The 22,039-nt window shown below is 44.1% G+C and overlaps 1 protein-coding gene across 1 annotated transcript in view; it reads left to right on the plus strand.

Moving 5' to 3' along the window:
- Positions 1–22,039, plus strand: part of DIP2B (disco interacting protein 2 homolog B) — a 243,673-nt gene that overhangs the window by 214,600 nt on the left and 7,034 nt on the right. Inside the window, exons 26-37 of the mRNA NM_173602.3 lie at positions 1,689–1,812; positions 3,618–3,739; positions 5,191–5,302; positions 8,119–8,228; positions 8,964–9,094; positions 11,785–11,953; positions 12,782–12,952; positions 14,551–14,612; positions 15,489–15,546; positions 17,452–17,526; positions 19,825–20,002; positions 21,832–21,955. Coding sequence (NP_775873.2) covers positions 1,689–1,812; positions 3,618–3,739; positions 5,191–5,302; positions 8,119–8,228; positions 8,964–9,094; positions 11,785–11,953; positions 12,782–12,952; positions 14,551–14,612; positions 15,489–15,546; positions 17,452–17,526; positions 19,825–20,002; positions 21,832–21,955 — 1,436 coding nt within the window. The remainder of the gene's footprint in view (positions 1–1,688; positions 1,813–3,617; positions 3,740–5,190; positions 5,303–8,118; positions 8,229–8,963; positions 9,095–11,784; positions 11,954–12,781; positions 12,953–14,550; positions 14,613–15,488; positions 15,547–17,451; positions 17,527–19,824; positions 20,003–21,831; positions 21,956–22,039) is intronic.

Genomic DNA, 22,039 nt, shown 5'->3' on the forward strand with positions numbered 1-22,039 from the left:
TAATCCCAACACTTTGGGAGGCCAAGGCGGGTGGATCACTTGAGGTCAGGAGTTCAAGACTAGCCTGACCAACATGTGAAACGCTGTCTCTACTAAAAATATAAAAATCAGCTGGGCGTGGTGGCGGGCACCTGTAATCCCAGCTACTCGGGAGGCCGAGGCAGGAGAATCGCTTGAATCCGGGAGGCGGAGGTTGCAGTGAGCCGAAAATGCGCCATTGCACTCCAGCCTGGGTGACAGAGCAAGACCCTGTCTCAAAAATAAAAAAAGAAAAAATATATATATTATATTAAATATAATAATATATATTACATTATAATATATAAATATATATAAAGAAAAAAATATATATATGTATTTTTTTGAGATGGAGTCTTGCTCTGTCACCTGGGCTGGAGTGCAGTGGTGCCATCTCAGCTCAGTGCAACCTCTGCCTCCTGGGTTCAAGCGATTCTCCTGCCTCAGCGTCCCGAGTAGCTGGGATTACAGGTGCCCACCACCAGGCCCAGCTGATTTTTATATTTTTATTAGAGACGGGCTTTCACATGTTGGTCAGGCTGGTCTCGAACTCCTGACCTCAGGATCCACCTGCCTTGGCCTCCCAAAGTGCTAGGATTATAGGCTTGAGGCACTGTGCCCGGCCTATATATTGTATTTTAAAGTTATGCATTCTGTGGGAGTCAGCTGAATTTTTGTGTTGATGTCTGAGTCACAGGCTCAAAGTCTGTGACCATGTGGATAGTAGTATTTCTCCCCAGCAGGGGAAGACTGGAAGTGCCTATTGGATCTCTTAGGGGACTTATCCAAAGTATACCCATCTCCTCCATCCCCCTGGAATCTGATTTTTTTTTTTTTTGAGAATTTATGCAATAATAGAACTTAATGAGAGGAATATGTTGTGCATCTTATTGAAAAGTCGTTAAAAATCTTAAGAACCATTACTTTTATGACAGAAAATTTGGGGACTTTCTTGTTCCACCTCTGCATGAAGTGAGCTTCTTTTCAAGCCCACAGATTCATTAGGGTTCTCATATTTCATTTAAAAATGTCAGCCAGGCACGGTGGCTCATGCCTATAATCCCAGCTTCTTGAAAGGATGAGGAAGGAGGATGGCTTGAACCCAGGAGTTTGAGGCTGCAAGCTGCAGTGAGCTGTGATTACATCACTGCACTGCAGCTTGGGCAACAGCAAGACCATGTCAGAACAAAAAAAGAAAGAAAAAGCGTCCCATACATGTCTTTTTGTTTGATTTTATTTTATTATTATTTTTTCTTTTTTGAGACAGAATCTCGCTCTGTCGCCCAGGCATTGGCTCAAGTGATCCTTCCACTTCTGCCCCTTGAGTAGCTGGGACTACAGGCATGTGCCACCACCACACCTGACTGATTTCTTTTTTGTATTTTTAGTGGAGAGGAGATCTTGCTGTGTTGCCCAGGCTTGTCTTGAACTCCTGGGCTCAAGCAGTGCTCCCACCTCATCCTCCCAAAGTGCTAGCGTTACAGGTTTGAGCCACCCTGTCCAGCCCCACACGTCTTTGATGCTAAGGGAATTTTCACTAGAATTGATAACTTGCTAAGGATAATCTACAAAAGCACAAGCCTTTCAGGTATGATGTTGAATTGGCTGTGCTTATTACTGTTTATTTCCTTTCTGAGCTTTGACCCGCTTATCCTTTCTGTTGTTTAAAGGGAACCACTGTATGCACAGCCAGCTGCCTTCAGCTTCATAAGCGAGCAGAGAGGATTGCATCTGTTCTTGGTGATAAGGGACATCTAAATGCAGGAGATAATGTGGTGTTGCTCTATCCACCTGGTAAGCATTGGATTGGCAGACTAGAGTTTAAGCTCCAATACTAGACTGACTACAAATTATAAAAGGATAGGCACTCAGAGCTACTCTCTATGACTTGCAAGCAGTGTACTTCCCAACACTTAGAAGACCATGCACACAGGCCAAAGTGGGAACCAATCCTCACCCCCCAAGTTGTGCAGTACAGTGGCTCTCCTGGGACCATGTCTGTTTTTGTACCTTTAGATTTCTATTAGTGCCTGGCACATAAAAGGCACTCAGTAAATAATGAATGAATGAAGTCTTCAGCTACTTGGCTTTTGGAAACCTTCAAAACAGATGCTTTGTTTCTATGAATGTTCAGGAATGGGGCAATTTCACCCAGTCCCCAAAGAAATGTTGTGCGTGAATTCTGTGAACATTTTTCGTATTATGATTGATGTTACTCAGGAGGAATAACTGCAGAAACCAGGAACGGTTAACTAGGAAAATAAAAGAATGGAGAAAGGAGAGGTGAGGAAGCCCTGAGCTTTTTAAAAATATTTAGAAAGCTGATGTATAAAAAGCCATCAGACTTCTTAGATGTTGTTGAAGGGGTGTGAGTTTTGAAGGGGTGTGAGTTTTCATATTACGATTTAGTCTTCTTCTGTTGTTGCTACTTTCATGTTCTGATTTAATTCAACAACCTCATCTTCATAGTAAGAGGGGTTCAGAATTATTTGGTGACAATTTGGTGTAAAGATTCAAAATTCTGGGTGAAATATTGGAGTTTTCCCTTCATTATTTCTGTCACCTAATCCACTCATACATCCAGCTTTCTTTGGCCTGTTATCCCCCCACACTTCATATTGTTCTGTGATTTTTTTTTGTTTGTTTGTTTGTTTATTTTATTTTATTTTATTTTATTTTATTTTATTTTATTTTATTTTTGAGACGGAGCCTTGCTCTGCCACCCACTGCAACCTCCGCCTCCCTGGTTCCAGTGATTCTCCTGCCTCAGCCTCCTGGGTAGCTGGGATCACAGGCACACGCCACCACGCCCAGCTAATTTTTGTATTTTTAGTAGAGATGGGGTTTCACCATGTTGGCCAGGCTCGTCTCAAACTCCTGACCTCAGGTGATCCACCTGCCCCAACCTTCCAAAGTGCTGGGATTACAGGTGTGTGCCACCATGCCTGGCTCATTATGTGATTCTCATGTGCTGCCTTATTTACCTAGATACTGAGATTTCGTAGAAGATCATGTGATAAAGCAGTCCCCACCATTACATGCCCAGGAGATGGCCTTGCACCTGTCAGTCGGTGAGAGGCCACGGGGAAGGACCTGAGCTCTTCCTGACGAGGCCTCTGCCCAGAGTCTTCCTCAGACTGAGTCACACTTTGCTCCCTAAAACTCATACCCCTTCAACAACATCTAAGAAGTCTGATGGCTCTTTTTAGAGCAGCCTTCTAAATATTTTTAAGAAGCTCAGGGCTTCCTCACCTCTCCTTTCTCCATTCTTTTATTTTCCTAGTTAACCATTCCTGGTTTCTGCAGTTATTCCTCCTGAGTAATATCAAGCAATAATATCAATATACCTTCTTCAGAAATATTTCAGGAGTTTACTGCTGATTTCCTTCCTTTTTTGTTAATTGTTTTCTCTATATTTTCTAAAGTTTTATATGCTTCCTTCTTTCACTTTCAATATCTTCTGCTAGGGTCTTTGTTAAATTATGGTCTACAGAACCTGTCTGGCACATGATTTAATTGTTTTGGAAAATTTGCCTTTTAGTTTCTCAGTGCTCTTAGGCAGTTCAGTGACTCTCCTGACAGGGTCCTTTGTCTTGCAGGCATTGAGTTAATCGCCGCCTTCTATGGCTGCCTGTATGCGGGCTGTATACCTGTGACCGTCAGACCTCCACATGCTCAGAACCTCACGGCCACGCTGCCCACTGTCCGAATGATTGTTGATGTAAGTACCAGCTGTATCTTGCCTTGTCCTCATCTCCTAAAATCCAGATTCAGACAACTAAGGATCCTTACTAATTTTCCAATTTTGTTAAGTCAGGAATTCAAATTTGTCTTCTGGAGACTACCTCCTTTTTGTTAATCCAGCCAAAGCAGTCATCATTATTCAGTGAAGGAACTGGGGGAAAGTGGTTATTGGTGAGATACAGAATTGTGTGCAGTTATCATGAACATTAAAGAGGTGAAGCAGCCATTAGTATTTCTACAACAAAAACACAAAAGGTAGCCAGGCATTGTGGCACTTGCCTGTAGTTCCAGCGACTCAGGAGGCTGAGGTGGGAGGATCCCTTGAGTCTGGGAGGTGGAGGTTAGAAGTGAGCTGAGATTATGCCACTGCACTCCAGCCTGAGCAGACCCTGTCGCCAAAAGAAAAAAAAAAAGTGTTTCCCCCTCCCTTCTGTCTAAAACGTGCTGTCTGATATTTTTCCTGCAAAATTATCTAGGCGATTTTAAATGCCAAACTGAATTATCCCCAGTGTCAAGTCACTTCTATTTTAGTTACTTTTGTGAATTTACTTGGTATAGCATTAAAAGGTGTCCAGAACTTGCTCTGGAGATGATAGAAGTTTTTATAGGATATGAGAGTTAAAGAAAATAAGATAAGTGTGTATTGCATGAGATCCTAGTGTTTACAGCAAGGGGAAGCCTTGGCCAGTGCTGACAGATTACAAAATTCCAGTTCATGTAGCATTTGCTTCTCTGAGAACTGCTGCTCTGTCAGCAAAAATGGAGCCCACAGTATAAAAGCCATGATCACCATAGATGATTTTATTACAAAGTGTAATTCAGCAAAATGCCCTTGTTATATTCTACAAAGTGGGCCAGAAAAGCAGGGAGGGGAGTTGCTGTTGATGCAGTTCGTGGGCAAAGTAGGTCATAGGTCACTTTGCATTTCTGTGTATAGCTGGGCAAGAGAACCTAGTTTCTGTGAGAGCTTATATCAGCATCAGGGTTCCTTAGGTTCAGTGTATGGGCTAGGTGTAGTAAGTCTCATCATTCACTAGAGACTGGGGCAGTCTCCTTCAAACATGGTTATCCGATTCTTCTCATTTCCTGAGCACTACAAAACCCACATCTTTATTTAATTGTGGTCTTCATGAAATCTTGGGATTGTGGGATCTATACTGAGATTATAACTGAAATACTTTGAGAATCACTGTTATAAATGATACAGTGTATTGTGAACAGGTCCATCATTCTGAGAGAATTAAATGTCACACATTTCCAGAAGGAAACATGCAAGGGAGTAACACTGACCTCGTCTGTCTCACATGTGTTCTTTGAAACTGTCCTGTCCAGTGTGGTACATGAGTGGCTTTTAGCAGCAGCCAGGGCCTGTGGTGCCATGTTGGGGCTGAGCCTCCTGATGCTTATTGCTGTCCATTTGTTTTCTAGGTCAGCAAAGCAGCCTGTATTCTCACCAGTCAGACCCTAATGAGGCTACTGAGGTCCCGAGAGGCAGCAGCAGCTGTGGATGTGAAAACCTGGCCAACCATCATTGACACAGGTGAAAGGGAGACTTCTTCTGAGGGTGGAGGGACTGAGAGCTCACAATACCTGAGATCTCCTCCATTCTCATGCCAGACGTGTTTACCCTGCCTTTATGTCTTCTGCCTGCTAAGACAGAGGCAAAACCTAGGATCAGTAAGCTTGTGCAGGACTAGACACTGACAGCAGATGCAAAGAGCCAGATCACAGTCTGCTAAGAGCTCTCCAAACAAAATTGTTTTGCTGTTACTCTTGGCATCATAAAAAGGTGGTTAGGTTTTTATGCTACATGTGACTATGTACATGTAGGGCCAAGTAAAATATTGAGACAATCTGATCCTTTCGTTCGAGATGTGATATTGTTGAAACAATACTGGACTAGGAGTCAGGTGATTTGGGTTCTGGCTCAAGCTTCATTACCTACTGCTTGTGTAATCTTGACTGAAATTACCCTTTCCTAAGCTACTGCCTACCCCTGCCTGACTTGAATATTTATTGAGAAGATGAAATGCAGTATAATATGAAAATGCTATACTTCGAAAGCCATAAAGTGCAGAATTTTTAGATAGTATTCGTATTAAAGAAGGGGATAAGATAAGGGAATAGCTGAAAAAGCTGTGGTATAGGAAGAGTGTGGGTGTTGGAGTCAGGCAGGTAGGGTTTAAGTCCTGCTGTATCTGCTACTCTCTGAGTATCCGTACTAACCTGTCTATAAAGTGGGAGTTGTAAAGATTAAATGATGTAACACAAAGCTTCTAGCATGTAATCATAATGATAACATCTAATCTTCATTGAGCCCTTATGATATGTCAGTCATTTAATGTGTTATATAATTTTATCCTTACAATAACCCTGTAAGTTGCTATTTTTATCCTCATTTTGCAGATTAGAAAACTGAGGGAAGTTAAATAAGCAGCAGAACTGAAATTCAAATCCAGCCAGTTTGGCTCCATTCCCAGCCTCTTAACCATTAATGTCCTCCCTACCCTTTTTTTTTTTTTTTAACTCTGGATTCAAATGCAGGAATGACATGTATTTGTGGTTATTGTGTACCAGATGCTGAACTGGGTTTTTTAAATATTTGTTACTGAAGGATAGAAGCACAGTTATATACAATATTTATCACAAATGGATTGTGTTGGTGTTAATGATGCTGGTAGGTCTATGGTTAATGGGCTCAATCACAACAGGAAGGTTTCTTTAGGCACTTGAGTGGTCATAGGAGTGACCCTTCCCTGCACAAAGGGAGGTCAAAGGTGTTAGTCTTTCATTTGACCAGAAATGGGTGCCCCATGTTATGGTGATTTAAAACTCAGAGTCAGACATCCTTCTTGATCCAGAAAGCCAAAGGAGCCATTGAAGAGGTATGGCTGGAGCCAGAGGAAATCTTTGACATCCCTGGTTTTGGCATACTTATAAAGCACATGGGGGGAAGCAGAGGAGGTATCATAAATGAGTGAAAGCAGCGAATTCCCAGTTCTTGGCTACCATTCTCTTTTGGAGACGGGGCCCTCACTCTGTCATCCAGGCTGGAGTGCAGTGGCGCGATCTCGGCTCACTGCAACCTCCACCTCCTGGGTTCAAGGGATTCTCCTGCCTCAGCCTCCCGAGTAGCTGGGATTACAGGCATGAACCACCATGCCTGGCTAATTTTTGTATTTTTAGTAGAGACAGGGTTTTGCCATGTTGGCCAGGCTGGTCTCGAACCCCAGTCCTCAAGTGGTCTACCTGCCTCGGCCTTCCAGAGTGCTAGGATTACAAGTGTGAGCCACCGCACCTGGCCACCATTTTTCTTTCTTTCTTTTTTTTTTTTTAAAGAGACATGATCTTGATATGTTACCCAGGTTGGTCTCAAACTCCTGGGTTCACACAACCCTCCTGCCTCAGCCTCCCAAGTAGCTGGGACTACAGGCCTGAGTCACTGCACCCAGATAGATTACTATTCTTAAAATTCTGCCAGGTTAGCCAGGTGCAGTGGCTCATGGTTGTAATGCCAGCACTCTGAGAGGCTGAGGCAGGAGGATCACTTGGGCTCAGGAGTTGGAGACTAGCCTGGGCAATACAGTGAGACCTCACCTCTACAAAAAAAATTTTTATTTAATTAGCTAGGCATGGTGGCATGGACCTGTAGTCCCAGCTGCTCAGGAGGCTGAGGTGGGAGGATCATTTGAACTCAGCAGATGGAGGTTGCAGTGACCCGAGATCGAGCCACTGCACTCCAACCTTGGCAATAGAGCAAGACTCTGTCTCAAAAAAAGAAAAAATCTGCTAATTTAACTTAGAGAAATACTTTCCAACTTTTAAATCCATACATGATTAATATAACACATACTAAAGTGTAAATAATGAACTTTAACTTGAAACCAGCATAACAGCTAATGCTTTTTGAGCATTTCTTCAGTCAGTTGCTTTAAAAGTGCTTTATGTGAATTAACTTCCCAACAGTTCTATGAGGGTAGGTATTATTTTAGAGATTCATTTTAGAGAAAAAGAAAACAGACACAAAGAGGTGAAATAACTCCAAGGTCACGTAGCTGAGGGTAGAGCTGGCATTTGAACAGCAGTCTGCTTCCTACTGTGTTCTGTTTCCCCTTACTAAGCTGCTAGCAGATACATTTACCTGATGTAGATTTGCTTGCCTGTGTTGTCTAGTGTTGTCCTCAACCCCAGCCCACCTCTAAGAATGACATATGTGAGCTACTTGGTTAAATATGAGAGGCCTAAGCTTTAGCAAATCTGCGAAGCTAAATTTGGCCATAGCAAAGCCACAGAAGAGCAATGATTTTCATGTTCCAGCATGTTGGATTGACATCAGGTTTTTTCTTTTCATGGCAGATGATTTACCCAGGAAAAGGTTACCTCAGCTGTATAAACCGCCCACTCCTGAGATGTTGGCATATCTTGATTTTAGTGTCTCCACAACTGGCATGCTTACAGGAGTGAAGGTAAGGTGCATGCTGGAAAAATGCCACATCTGCCAAAAAATAGAGATGACCACTGCCCCAGAAACTATAGATGCAGAGGCCAAGTGGTTGTACCAGAGACCGGTAGGCAGAGTGAAGATCTAAGTCGCTGCTCTATTTAAATAAAGGCATTGGCTCCTCTGGAATGAGTTATCACAAGGAATTTGTATTATTAAGCGTCTGAACCTAGCATAGAAGCTGAAAGAAAAAGAGTTTTAGTTAAAATATGTATGAAATCTGATATTTAGATATCATAAAATGCAGTATTCGCTGGGCACGGTGGCTCACGCCTGTTATCCCAGCTCCTTGGGAGGCCAAGGCGGGCAGATCACCTGAGGTCAGGAGTTCGAGACCAGCCTGAACAACATGGAAAACCCCGTCTCTACTAAAAATAGAAAATCAGCTGGGCGTGGTGGTGCGTGCCTGTAATCCCAGCTACTCAGGAGGCTGAGGTTGCGGTGAGCTGAGATCGTGCCATTGCACCGCAGCCTGGGCAACAGGAGTGAAACTCCATCTAAAAAAAAAAAAAATTCATTATTAACTAATGAACAGAAATATGTTCCCTTAATGGAGTCTTAGATTAGGCTTTGAAGCACTAAAAATTATGCATTGTTTTGAGGAGTTTAGGGAATTGAAACTCCTCAAAGCTGTCGTCAGAGCTGTTACTCTGCCTGTGGGATAACAGTCCCAGCCTGTTCCATTTTCCATACTTTCCAGATGTCCCACTCTGCAGTGAACGCTCTGTGTCGAGCCATCAAGCTCCAGTGTGAGTTGTACTCTTCTCGGCAGATCGCCATCTGCCTTGACCCTTACTGTGGACTTGGCTTCGCGCTCTGGTGTCTCTGCAGGTAGGGATGGAAAAGCCAAGGAGACAGAATGTGTGGGGGTATACTTTGTGGCCATGGCCATCTCATCCTTCCCTTTGCTCCCTTAATTTGGTAAAGTTTCAGTAAAATGCTAGTGTTTCCAGAATTTATGGATCTACTGTGTCTCTGAAGTTTGTTTAAAAACAGTTTTGTCTGTATTCCCTTTGTTATTTTCTGTTAATTTTATTCCTCATACAAAATGGCAGTGATCCTGTTACTTGCTCTCTGCTCCACCATGTAATCCTTGCTTTAGAAGCAAAGCCAAGTAGAAGGATGATTCTCGGATGAAATATGTCATGCTTTGACAGCCAGCACGTACCCCCTCGGCTTGGCAGGAAGGAGCACAATGGGATGGGATGACAGCATGTGGATGGAAAGTAGCACATTTGCCCTGGCCAGGTTGCTCCTTGCAGAATACAGATCCCAGCTCCTCTCACCATTCCCCCAGGGAACCTCATCTCAGACCTGCATTTTCACCTCCTTGGTGTACATCATGAATGCTTCACAGATGCCTGCAGCTCAAGCTCAACGTTCTCCTCCTGTTCTCTCTTTGTTAGGATAGGATCATCCATGTAGGGGCCCACACTAGAAACATGGGTCTTATCTTCAGATTCTGTATCTTTATGTCTTGTGTCTAATCAAATGTATGTCCTTTGGCTCGGTTGTGCTACACCTGTATGTACATAAGAATCACCTGGGGGTCTTTTAACAAAAATTAATGGGACTCCCCAAGACTTATTAACCTTCATCTCCAGAGGTGGAGACCACACCACCAGTATTTTTAAATACAGGATTCCTGAGCTTCTAGTGACTCTGATCTATAAACAGGTTTAGGCATAAAATCACTGCCATTTTGTATGAGCCAAGAGTTTAAGCTTTGTGGCTATAGATGAGACATGATAGGAACTCTGTTCCTTCCTGTTTTTTCTTGCTTAAAAACAAAAAAAAACATTGTGTTGATAGTTCTTCCTGTGATGGACTGAATATGGATATGAGGATCCATATTTCCTTTCTGTCCTTTTTTCTTTTTTTTCTTTTTCTTTTTTTTTTTTAATCAGTGTCTTGCTCTGTTGCCCAGGCTGGAGTGCAGTGGTGCAGTCTCGGCTCACTGCAACCTCCACCTCCCAAGCTCAAGCGATCCTCCCATCTCAGCCTCCTGAGTAGCTGGGACTACAGGTGCACACCACCACACCTGGCTAATTGTTTTGTAGAGACAGCGTTTCGTCATGTTGCCCAGGCTGGTCTTGAACTCCTGGACTCAGGCAGTCCGCCTGCCTCGACCTCCCAAAGTGCTAGGATTATAGGTGTGAGCCACCACACCCAGTCCCATTCCTTCCTTTTTATCCTGGGATACACTATTGGGTTCAAGCCTGTTATCACCTCTCACCTGAACTATTGCAGCCTCTCCTAACTGTCTCTCAAGTTTCAGTGGCTCGTATCACCAATCCCTACTCCGTATGTCCATATTGTCAGTGTTGCCCCAACTTAAAGTGGCAATGACTGCCTGCTGGGTGAAGTCTAAACTCCTTCATAGGATGGTTAAGCCCTTTCACAGTTTGGCCTTAGCCCTTCTGGCCTTACTTCTCCATTCACCCTGTATGCTACGATTTCAGTTGAATACTCTTTCTTTTTCTTCTTTTTCTTTCTCTCTCTTTCTTTTTTTGTTTCTTTCTTTCTCTCTCTCTCTTTTTTTTTTTTTTTTAAAGGAGACAGGGTCTCAATCTGTCACCCAGGCTGGAGTGCAGTGGCACAAATCACAGCTCACTGCAGCCTCTCGGGCTCAAGTGATCCTCCCACCTCAGCCTCCCAAGTAGCTGGGACTACAGGTGTGTGCCACCACGCCTGGCTAATTGTTAAAAAAATTTTTTTTGTAGAGGCATGAGTTTTGCTCTATTACCCAGGCTGGTCTTCACCTTCTGGGCTCCAGCGATCCTCCCATCATGGCCTCCCAAAGTACTGGGATTACAGGCGTGAGCCACCGTGCCTGGCCACTTGAATACTATTAATATTTCTGATCGCTTCAAACATGCTGTAATTATCGGCCTTTGTAAATGTTGTTCCTCTGCTTAGAACACCCTCACTACCGTCCCCACTTCTTCTGGCCACTGCCAAATTCATACTCATTCTTCAAGCTGCAGCTCAAGTGTCACCAGCTCAGTGAAGCACTACCACTCCCCTACCCTGGCTTATCGAGCTTGAATGAACTGCTCTTTATTCTGTGATGTCAGTGTTCTTGATTCACATCTCATATTCAGAGCATCAATAAAATGGCTATAAACATCTTTAAAAGAAACCATAGGAATAAAATCCAGTCCACACATAAGGTTTCTGAATAGAAAGAGGAAAAAATGCTACTCCATCAGGGTTTTAAAGATTAGTTATTAGGAATTACCTTTCCAGAATGTTTAGTATCATCTTGACCATATTAATTAGCTTGAGGGCAGCTGTAAGAATGTTATGTAGACTTAAGTGACCTACCACAGTCTGCTTTATTTCATAGTTGCTCCTTTTGCGAGTTGCATAGGAACAAGACTGATTCTTAGAGCTTTATATCTCATATGTCCCTACACTGTCCTTTACACTCAGTAAATATCTGTGGAATTGGTGGGGTTCTGAAGCATCAGGTATCCAGGATGAATTGATGATTCCAGCTCTTGTCTCTTTCACTGCAGTGTCTATTCAGGCCACCAGTCTGTCTTAATTCCTCCTATGGAGTTAGAGAACAACCTTTTCCTCTGGCTCTCCACAGTCAACCAGTACAAAATAAGGGACACTTTCTGCTCCTATTCAGTGATGGAGCTCTGCACCAAAGGTCTTGGGAACCAAGTGGAAGTGCTAAAGGTAAGAAGCAGCTCCAGCAGGTGGCCAGTCCCAAAAGGTTCTGAAGAAATGCGCCAGGACGTAACAGGGCCAGAGCAGGGGCTAACAGACATGTTTGCTTGCCTTTTTCAAGTCACTCAGTTAAAAAAGGGTGTATTTTAAACTTTGGCAAGTTTATCTCTTCCACCTTCCTAATTTAGTGCACTCTTCCACAGTTTAATATGATTCTTACTTTGTGGACAAGAAGCGGAAACTGGTTGGGAGGCTAACTGGAAAGACTTTATGTAAACATAAAAGGGAACTGTGGCTTCCAATACTTTTTTTTCCTAATAGAATTTGAAACCTCAAAATATTAGGAATTCAGAATATCTCCAAAGATAAGGGTAACTCATTGATTCATGTGTGTGTCAAATGATGATCTGTCTGACTTGCAGATGAGAAAGTCAGAAGATACTGAATTTTCTTTGATAGAAAAATATCTTTGGAATGCAAAAAGAGATGAGATTAGATCGCCAGAGTTCTAGATTAATTTTTCTCTCAGTCTCATCAAATAGGGGGACATCTAAGGTACAGAAATGAGGAGGGATAAAAACATTGCTGAAGAGCCTTAGATTTTTAGAAGAAAGAGGAAAGAACTAGAGAATGAGCAAATTTACCAGCAGATAGTGATTTTAATGGGATGCCTTGTCCGTTTCTTCTTTTCTGAAAGCTGCTTTTTTCTCTGTGTGCCTGAGGTGAGAATACACAATTGCTTGGCTTTTCCTGACCAAGGAGCTAGAACAGTGGCCTTACCTGTTCAGTTCTTTTATGATCCTACTGACTTGGCTCCCATATAATGGTGTCTTGCAGACCAGAGGGATCAACCTCTCCTGCGTCCGGACCTGTGTGGTGGTGGCGGAGGAGAGGCCCCGCGTTGCACTCCAGCAGTCCTTCTCTAAGCTCTTCAAAGACATCGGGCTGTCCCCGCGGGCTGTCAGCACCACTTTTGGATCAAGAGTCAATGTAGCAATATGTTTACAGGTGACCCTCATGAAATCTTGTCTGTTGACAAATGGGAGAGGAATATGGAGTATCCCAGAGCATGGGCTTTGGAGCCAGGCTGCCTGGGCTTGGGCCCCAGCCGCACTTACTTGCTTTGGAACTTCGGGCTTTTAAATCTCGATTTCTTTGTGTCTCATTTTGCTCATCTGTAAGGTGAAGGTAGCAGTACTGTGCTTCCCCAGGCAGCTTGCACAATCACTGAGCTGCCAACTCGGAGTTCTTGGAGCAGTGCTGACAGTGAGCGCAGTGTTGGTGTTTACTTGAGTCATCGTCGTGTGGTCATGATGACGAGTCACAAAGATTTGAGTCCTATTTGGATTTTACTTGTATCTGACCTGTTTTTCCTTTTTCTTTTTTTTTTTATTTGAGACGGAGCCTTGCTCTGTCACCCCAGCTGGAGTGTAGTGGTGCAGTCTCAGCTTACTGCAACCTCCACCTCCTGGGTTCAAGCGGTTCTCTCACGTCAGCCTCCAGAGTAGCTGGGATTACAGGCGTGTACCACCACGCCCGGCTATTTTTTGTATTTTTAGTAGAGACAGGGTTTCGCCCTGTTGACCAGGCTGGTCTCAAACTCCTGACCTCAAGTGATCCAGCCGCCTCAGCCTCCCAAAGTGCTGGGATTACAGACATGAGCCACCGCGCCCGGTCTGACCTTCTGTTTTTCTGTCTCTATATTCTATACCATTTTTTTTCTTTCTTTTTTTTTTTTTTTTTCCAAACAATAACCTTGTATTCTCTTCTCTACCCAGATGGCAACTTTGTCATGTTATTCTTGATGGGTAAATAACAGAAAAGGGACTAGAACTGAGACTAATTTTATGTATTAATGTGTAATAAGGCAAATATAGCGCCAGGTGTGGTGGTTCATGGCTATAATCCCAACACTTTGTGAGGCCAAGGCAGGAGGATTGCTTGAGCCCTGAAGTTTGAGACCAGCCTGGGCAACATAGTTGAGACCTCATCTCTCCCCTACCCCCACCACTCACCTGCAAAAAATATAGATGGGCTTAGTGGTACATGCCTCTAGTCCCAGCTACCTGGAAGTCTGAGGCAAGGGGATTGCTTGAGCCCAGGAGGTTGAGGCTGCAGTGAGCTGTGATTGTACCGCTGCACTCCAGCAACCTGGGCAACAGATTGAGACCCTGTCTCTTAAAAAAATAATAAGGCAAATATAGGCATGGACAAAGTGAGTGAAAGAAGATAGCACACATGGGTGGATTATTTCAGGTCTTCTGTGACCTTCTTCTTTCAGAAGGGTCTTGATGGTTTAAACTTGAGCCCCATCATAGCCCTCTTGCTGTCACTGTGGCCAATACTGGTTTTGCAAGTCCCTGGGTTGCCGACCTGTGTCACCTCTGCTTTGAATCCAGGGATGAAAGCCCTCCTCAGCATGGAAATGTTTCAGTGCTGCCACAGTCCCCGTGATAAGAGTGAGAGCAGGGGGCCTACTCTCAAGGGGAGGAGAGGTGAAAAGAGTGTGGATTTTTCATGTATATGGCTAAATTATTTCTTGGTTTGAAAATGTGAAATACAGTTTATCGAAATTCTAAACAACGCATTGATTTGTCTTTCTTTAGGGAACCTCAGGGCCTGATCCGACTACTGTGTATGTGGATCTGAAATCACTAAGACATGACAGGTACAACAGATTTATTAATGCTCCTTTCCTACTAGTTCCTAAGCATAACAAATTCGGAACCTCAAAGCCAGCATTTTCCCTCATTCCTTTTGTTCATATATTCCAGGAGGGGAATGGGAAGAGGGAAGGAATTTGTTTTTATCATTAATACATAAGATTTACATTTATAAGAAAGCTTTAATTCTCTCAGTTGCTACACTGTTCTTTAATATTAAAGTATAATAGTTATTGCCCATATAAAAGTATTTTGTGACATTTGATATAAATTAAACTAAAATGGATAGTCTCTTTCCTCTAAGAGTTTAAAAATAATAGGACAGATAAGATAAATGAGTCAGAGTAGGGTTTTTGAAACAACACTTTATCTGAGCCCCATGGGTAAAAGCCTGCCTCCTTAGCCCAGAAGGGAATTTTAGCTGTGTCCGGCAGTGAGCGCTGGCCCAGGGCTCTAAGACTTCTCTTCCCAAGCCCCACTACCCTGGATGTGTTATCTGGAGTGCCCCACTGCACTGACCTAGCCTGCATAGGTGGAACATCTCTCTCATGCAGCAGTTTGAAACCTGGGAAGATTTTGCCACCCTAGAGGAGATTTGACAATGTCTGGAAACATTTTGGGTTGTCATAAAAGGGGGCTTGCTACTGACATCTAGTGGGCAGAGGCCAGAGGTGTTGGTAAACACCGCAATGCACAGGATAGCCCCTTTCAACAAAAAATTATCTGGCCAAAATGTTAGTAGTGCTGAGTTTGAGAAACCCCTCTGTAGTATGAGGAAGAGAGACAAGTTAGAGGTTGTGGGAAGGCAGCACCGAGCTGCAGGAACATGGCGACTTCTCCTCTTAAAAGCCCTATATATAGTAAATACCGTTCTTCTGCAGGGTTCGTCTCGTGGAACGTGGCGCCCCTCAGAGTTTGCTTCTCTCAGAGTCTGGAAAGGTAATTTGTTCTGTTGACCATGGGGAAGGTGGGCTGTGTGGAGAAGTGGTTCAGTTTAAAGAAACCAGAAGCCATATAATATATTAGTGTCCAGGGCAAGCCTTAATTGAAATCTGGAGATAATTTCAGCTTGGCTAATACTTTCAAATTCATATGGGTACATAGATAAGAAGAATAGTAAATTTGAACTCTCTTAATTTCCATCGATTTTTAAAAATCCAACTGACATGTTATTCTTATTGACAGACCAGCAAAATGCAGTGCTCATTGTATGAAAGGTGGATAGAAGAGCTGGTTCTATGTTTTTTTTTCATGGTTTTTTTTGTTTTTTTGTTTTTTGTTTTTTGTTTTTTTTGAGATGGAGTCTCACTCTGCCACCCAGGCTAGAGTGCAGTGGCGCGATCTCGGCTCACTGCAACCTCTGCCTCCCAGATTCAAGGAGAACTTGCCTCAGCCTCCGAGTAGCCGGGGTTACAGGCACCTGCCCCCACGCCCAGCTAATTTTTGTGTTTTTAGTAAAGATGGGGTTTCACCATGTTGGCCAGGCTGGTCTTGAACTCCTGACATCAGGTGATCACCTGCCTCGGCCTCCCAAAGTGCTGGGATTACAGGCATGAGCCACTATGCCCGGCCCGGTTCTATCTTACAAACGTCACAAGGAGAAAGCTAGGAGAGGCCGAGATGGGAGTGTGGTTTAAGGTCAGGGAAGACACACATGCATTTAAAGTTGAAAGGAAAATAAAAATGGGGATGAGATTAAAGATATTTGAGAGTTAACATCTGTGGGAGTAAGATTTCTTAGATTAGAATGAGGCTATAAAACGTCAAAAGAGAGATTTAGTGAGAAGCAATTTACTAAGGATGATAGGAAACCCACATGCATTGTCAAGACAAGTGGGAATTTCTCTGCCCTTTGATGAGATAATGATGATACCTCAGAATCCTGTCTAGTAATTCTGAAGGGCAGTGAAAAAATTGTGGAGGGAAAAAAAGAATCCCTGCCAAACCTACTTGGTGGTGTATCACCCCATGGGGCGCTTACTCCAGTCTCACTTTCCGTTTGCATCTGCGAGCAGAGGGGGATTTGGCTGATTTTGTCACTGCCTTGTCACATCTTCACTTGCCTCAGCAGCCAAGCACACCTCACGAGCATTAGCCTGTGCCCACCCTGGACTAAGGGAACCGTCTCATCTCTTCCTTGAGGTTTTAGATGTTTGCACCCAGATAATTATTGAGGGCTTCTCAAGTAACCTCATACTTTAGAAACCCAAGATAAAAAGGGAGTTTGAAGGGGGCAGAATATGGGTAACCAGAGAGGCCCTTCTTTTGTTAGAATGGCTGAGCCATTCCCTCAGCCAGCGTATGTGTCTTCCTTTTCCTTCCTGAGGAAGATCCTAGGGTCAAGGATATCCTTCTGTCCTGCAAAGCTGCTGCTGTCCTCTGTCACTCTTCACATTCCTCCAACTCTAGCACCAGCTGGAGTCTGGAGTGGAGTGACTTAGGCTGTCCCTGCCTGCTGCCCTTTCTGTTTTAAAGGGTTTCACTGCCATCATTCCAGTGAATGAGAAAGAACATGAAAAGGGAAAGGTTATTCTACAAATTCTACTGTTAAGGTCCTGATCTGCAATTTCTCATCCCTTTGAAGAGATGGCAGACTGGCTCCCATTTTATTTTTGAGGCTGAGTTTTATTAGACCTTTCGTCTTCAATGAACTGAGGAAGGTTCAGTGAGAGCAAGACACAAGGTCTCTGCCATGATCCCCTCAGGGTAGCTGCTGTGATGCCGCTACAGCTGGCTCGCCATGTGTGCCTCTCTCACCTCTCCAGCAGGTAACTAACCGTGCGTTTCCTGGAGGTCATTAGATTTCACTGAACTCAATCTTTGTATTTTCCCTTTGATTCTTAGATTTTACCTGGAGTGAAAGTGGTTATTGTTAATCCTGAGACCAAAGGGCCGGTTGGAGACTCTCACCTTGGAGAGGTTTGTAATAATTTTCATTTTTACTCTGAAAAGTCAGCAGTAAAAATCTCTAGGGTTCACATTTTAGAAATCAGTAAAACTGTGGATTTAGCTTTCCCCCGTTGTGAATGGAGTTAATTTTTTTCTGTAAGGCATGAGACTGAAATTGACAGAAGAGGGAGATTGAAACTGGGATCCAGGGAAGATTTAGGCACCCAAACTGGAAATGGTACCAGATTTGTCCACTGACATGCCCTTAGCTAGAAAGGAAAGTGAGCAAATCCTACATATTCCCACCTATTAAGGTATGAAACTGAAAGGAGTCACATACTTACAAATTTTTAAGGTCATTCAGATGTTATATTGTATTCTAAAATGTATCCATGTTTGCATTAACAAAAAAATTCTAGGCCCAGCCCTTTAACAAAAAATATTTATATATAAATACATATTATTTGTATATAAGTATATAAAAATTAACTATATAAAATAGTTAATTTTTCTTCCCCCAAATCTTTGTTTTTGTTTGTTTATTTGAGACAGTCTCACTCTGTTGCCCAGGCTGGGCTTACTGCAACCTCCGCCTCCCGGGTTCAAGTGATTCTTGTGCCTCGGCCTTCCCAAGTAGCTGGGACTACAGGCACGTGCCACCATGTCTGGCTAACTTTTTGTATTTTTAGTAGAGATAGGGTTTTACTATGTTGCCCAGGCTGGTCTCGAACTCATGAGTTCAGGTGATCCGCCTGCCTTAGCCTCCCAAAATACTAGGATTACAGGCATGAGCCCCCATGCCCAGCCTCCCCAAATCTTTGAAGGATGCTGATATTTCATTACGTAGCTGAATGGGAGGAGTCCTGTAAGTGCAGGAGCCAGATGACCTCGGCTCTGCCACTTACAAGCTTCTCAGTATTGGACAGGTTAATTTCTTGGGGCCTCAGTTTCCTCATCCATAAATAATAATAGCACTGGTGGCCGGGCGCAGTGGCTCACATCTGTAATCCCAGCACTTTGGGAGGCCAAGGCGGGTGAATCACGAGGTCAAGAGATCGAGACCATCCTGGCCAACATGAGGAAACTCCGTCTCTACTAAAAATACAAAAATTAGCTGGACATGGTGGCGTGTGCCCGTAGTCCCAGCTACTCAGGAGGCTGAGGCTTGAACCTGGGAAGCAGAGGTTGCAGTGAGCCGAGATCACGTCACTGCACTCCAGCCTGATGACAGAGCAAGACTCTCAAAAATAATAATAATAATAATAGCACCATCCAGGTGCAGTGGCTCAGGCCTGTAATCCCAACACTTTGGGAGGCTGAAGCAGGAGTTTGAGGCCACTCCACTTTGAGGCCAGGAGTTTGAGGCCAACTGGGCAACATAGCAAAGACCCCATCTCTACTTCGAAAAATTTTTTTTTTCTGAGACAGTGTATTGCTCTGTCACCCAGGCTGGAATGCAGTGGTGCCATCTTGGCTCCCTGCAACCTCCATCTCCCCAGTTCAAGTGATTCTCCTGCCTCAGCCTCCTGTGTAGCTGGCATTACCAGGCGCACACCACCACGCCTGGCTAATTTTGTATTTTTAGTAGGGGGTTTCACCATGTTGGCCAGGCTGGTCTTGAACTCCTGGCCTCAAGTGATCCACCTGCCTTGGCCTCCCAAAGTGCTGGGATTACAAGCGTGAGCCACCACGCCCAGCCTATTTTAAAAATTTTTAAATGTTAGTAGTAGCACCTACCTCACCTCCTGAGTAGAATCATTATAACAATTAAATGTATTAACACCTGCATCTGTAGTGTACATGGAACAGTGTCTGTCACATAATGATTCTTAGTAACATTATTGTTAGCTATCGCTCTGTTTATATTATAAACTCAAAACACCCCATGGTGTTTCCCTGTGGGCTTCCACAGTTATCCCGGAAGCACAGAAACGATCCCTGATGTGTTCGTGGGACTCTGGAGGAGAGTGAGAAATGAGCCAGGGAGGCAGGGTAGCCTTGTGGGTGAGAGCACGGCCTCCGGAGCCACACGGGCATGGGTGCGAGTCTCCTCATTTCTGCATGTTAGGTGAATTAGTTAACTCCTTGTTTTTTCATCCGTAAAATGGGAACAACATTGTATGAACTATGTTGTCATGTCATATATATCAGGATGGATGGAGATTAGGTACATGATGAGCACGTGGTAAATGTCAGCTGCCTTTATTGATGCAGTTGTGTTGTTGTTAATATAAAAATGAGATTTAAAAAATCAAAATAACCTGATCCAAGAGAATTAATACAGTTGTGTGTCCCCAGTGAGTTGTGATCAAAGCACTTTTCTTGTAGATTTGGGTGAACAGTCCCCATACAGCCAGCGGCTACTACACCATCTATGATAGCGAGACTCTTCAAGCTGATCATTTCAACACTCGCCTCAGCTTTGGAGATGCAGCTCAGACACTCTGGGCTCGGACAGGATACCTTGGTTTTGTCCGCCGGACCGAGCTCACAGCGGCCACTGGAGGTACTTCTGCAACAACTCCCCATTGACCCTGCTTTGTGTTTCTGTAGCACTAGCTGACCTCCTTCAGCCTGCGTTGGATTGTGGAGTGTGTCTATTTAGTTACTCCCTTCGGTGACTCTTAAACCCATAAGTGACTCTCTCTTCATTTGGAGTCATGCCTTGCCCCATGAAGAGTGTCTAAGAGGTGAGCGCTTGGGGCAAGCCCAGGAGCATCCCGAGCTGTGAGTCAGAGAGATGTGCCTGATGGCAAGTGAGCGTCCCTGGCTAAACAGACTTTCAGTCCCTGCAGGGCTGATTCACATCCGGGACAAGCATTACATCTTATAGCTCTTCTACCCTGCACACCACTTGGGGAGCAGGAGGAATGGCCCTATTCCCTGAGAGGGGCGTCAGTTCCAAGGAGCCATCTTGCTGAGGCATGGCAGTGCCTCAGTGTCTTGCGTTGGACACAGCCTGCTTCCTGGCCAGGCCTCTGGTATGAGGATTCCCTCCCATCACCCTCTGCCCAGTTGATTGTCACAGCTTCACTGCTGCCCGCCATCACTCTTTCTTCCAGACTGACACTTATAGCCATTTAAAAATACCCAACACTGACTATATCCTGCACTTGAAGAAGTGATAGATATATAACTCACTGGATTTTAAAGTCCTAAATTCTCCATAGTTCCATACTGACCAGCATCCATAGTTCCCCAGATTTCATGGAGAGGCAGGGGCAACCCAGGGGAGCAGAGGGTGGCATCCCTGCCTGGTGCCCTGGTTTTGCAGCCCACCTCTGCCACTTGCTGGGTGACCTTGAGCAATCACTTAGCCTCTGTTTCCTACTTAGAAAATGGGGATGACTGTGTTTCTTGCCTCATGGAAATGATGTGAGATTAAAGGACATGATGCATTTAGATGCCAAGAACGGTGCCTGGCACACAGGAAGCACCCATTAGTCATTCACTGCTATGTTTCTCTTGTTTTTGTCATCAGTCTTCATGAGCTCACCAGGTGATGGGAGCCTCTGCTGCACCTCCTGATCCTTTTCACTCCAACAGCTTCAATCACTTTGTTTTGCTGAATTTTTCAGAAATCTGCGTTTTTCCAGAAATTACTGCAAAATAATCTTCCTTCCTTCTGTATCCTAGCTGGATTACAAGCCTGTTAGAAACCAGGACTAGTTTCCTCCATGTTCTACAACCCTCCTTCTTATATGTGTATTCCATGAAGCTACCTAGAAAAAATGACACTTGTTCATCTCCTCTCCCTCTCAAGTCCTGTCTTTCCTCTGTCCCTCCCCTCTGGCTCAGTCCTGTTTGTCCTTAAAAGCTCAGCTCTGCCCTCAGCTTTTCCAGGTGCCTTCCCTGAACCTTTGAGCTAGACTCAGTGATGTCCTCTGCCCCTCCGAACCTCATGCACACTCCTGTCGCTGGGCTTGTTACATTACAACGGAATGCCTCTTTGTGTATCTTTTCCCCCACCTCAGCTGTAAGGATCTTCAGAGAAGGAATTGGGTTTTGTCAGTTTTGTCTCCCCAGCACATAACACAGTTCCTAACATGTAATAATACTAACAGCTAATTTCTGGTATCATTTACAAAATACCACATACCATATTAACTACTGTGCATGGATTAACTCACAAATCCTCACAGCAGCCATTGATTATTATTCCCATCTCACAGAGGAGCAGCAGGATTCAGAGCCTTAAGGAATTTGCCCAGAGTTACACAGTTGGTAGGGGCAGAGCCAGGTGACAGGCAGTCTGACCCCTGTGCTGTGGACTCCAGTGTTATGTTGCACTCAGTATATGTCCAAGCCACATTTCTCTCTTTTTCTTTCTGTCAGAGCGTCATGATGCATTGTATGTGGTGGGAGCGCTGGATGAAACACTGGAGCTGAGAGGATTACGATACCACCCAATTGATATTGAGACCTCGGTGTCCCGGATCCACAGAAGCATTGCTGAATGGTAACTCCCTCAGCATACACTGTGCTTCCCACTTCAGCTTTAGTCATAATCTCAACTGATCTAATTAATTGGTCATTGGGACCA

This window comes from Homo sapiens, chromosome 12, assembly GCF_000001405.40.
Source record: "Homo sapiens chromosome 12, GRCh38.p14 Primary Assembly".
In the NCBI taxonomy this organism is placed as follows: Eukaryota; Metazoa; Chordata; class Mammalia; order Primates; family Hominidae; genus Homo; species Homo sapiens.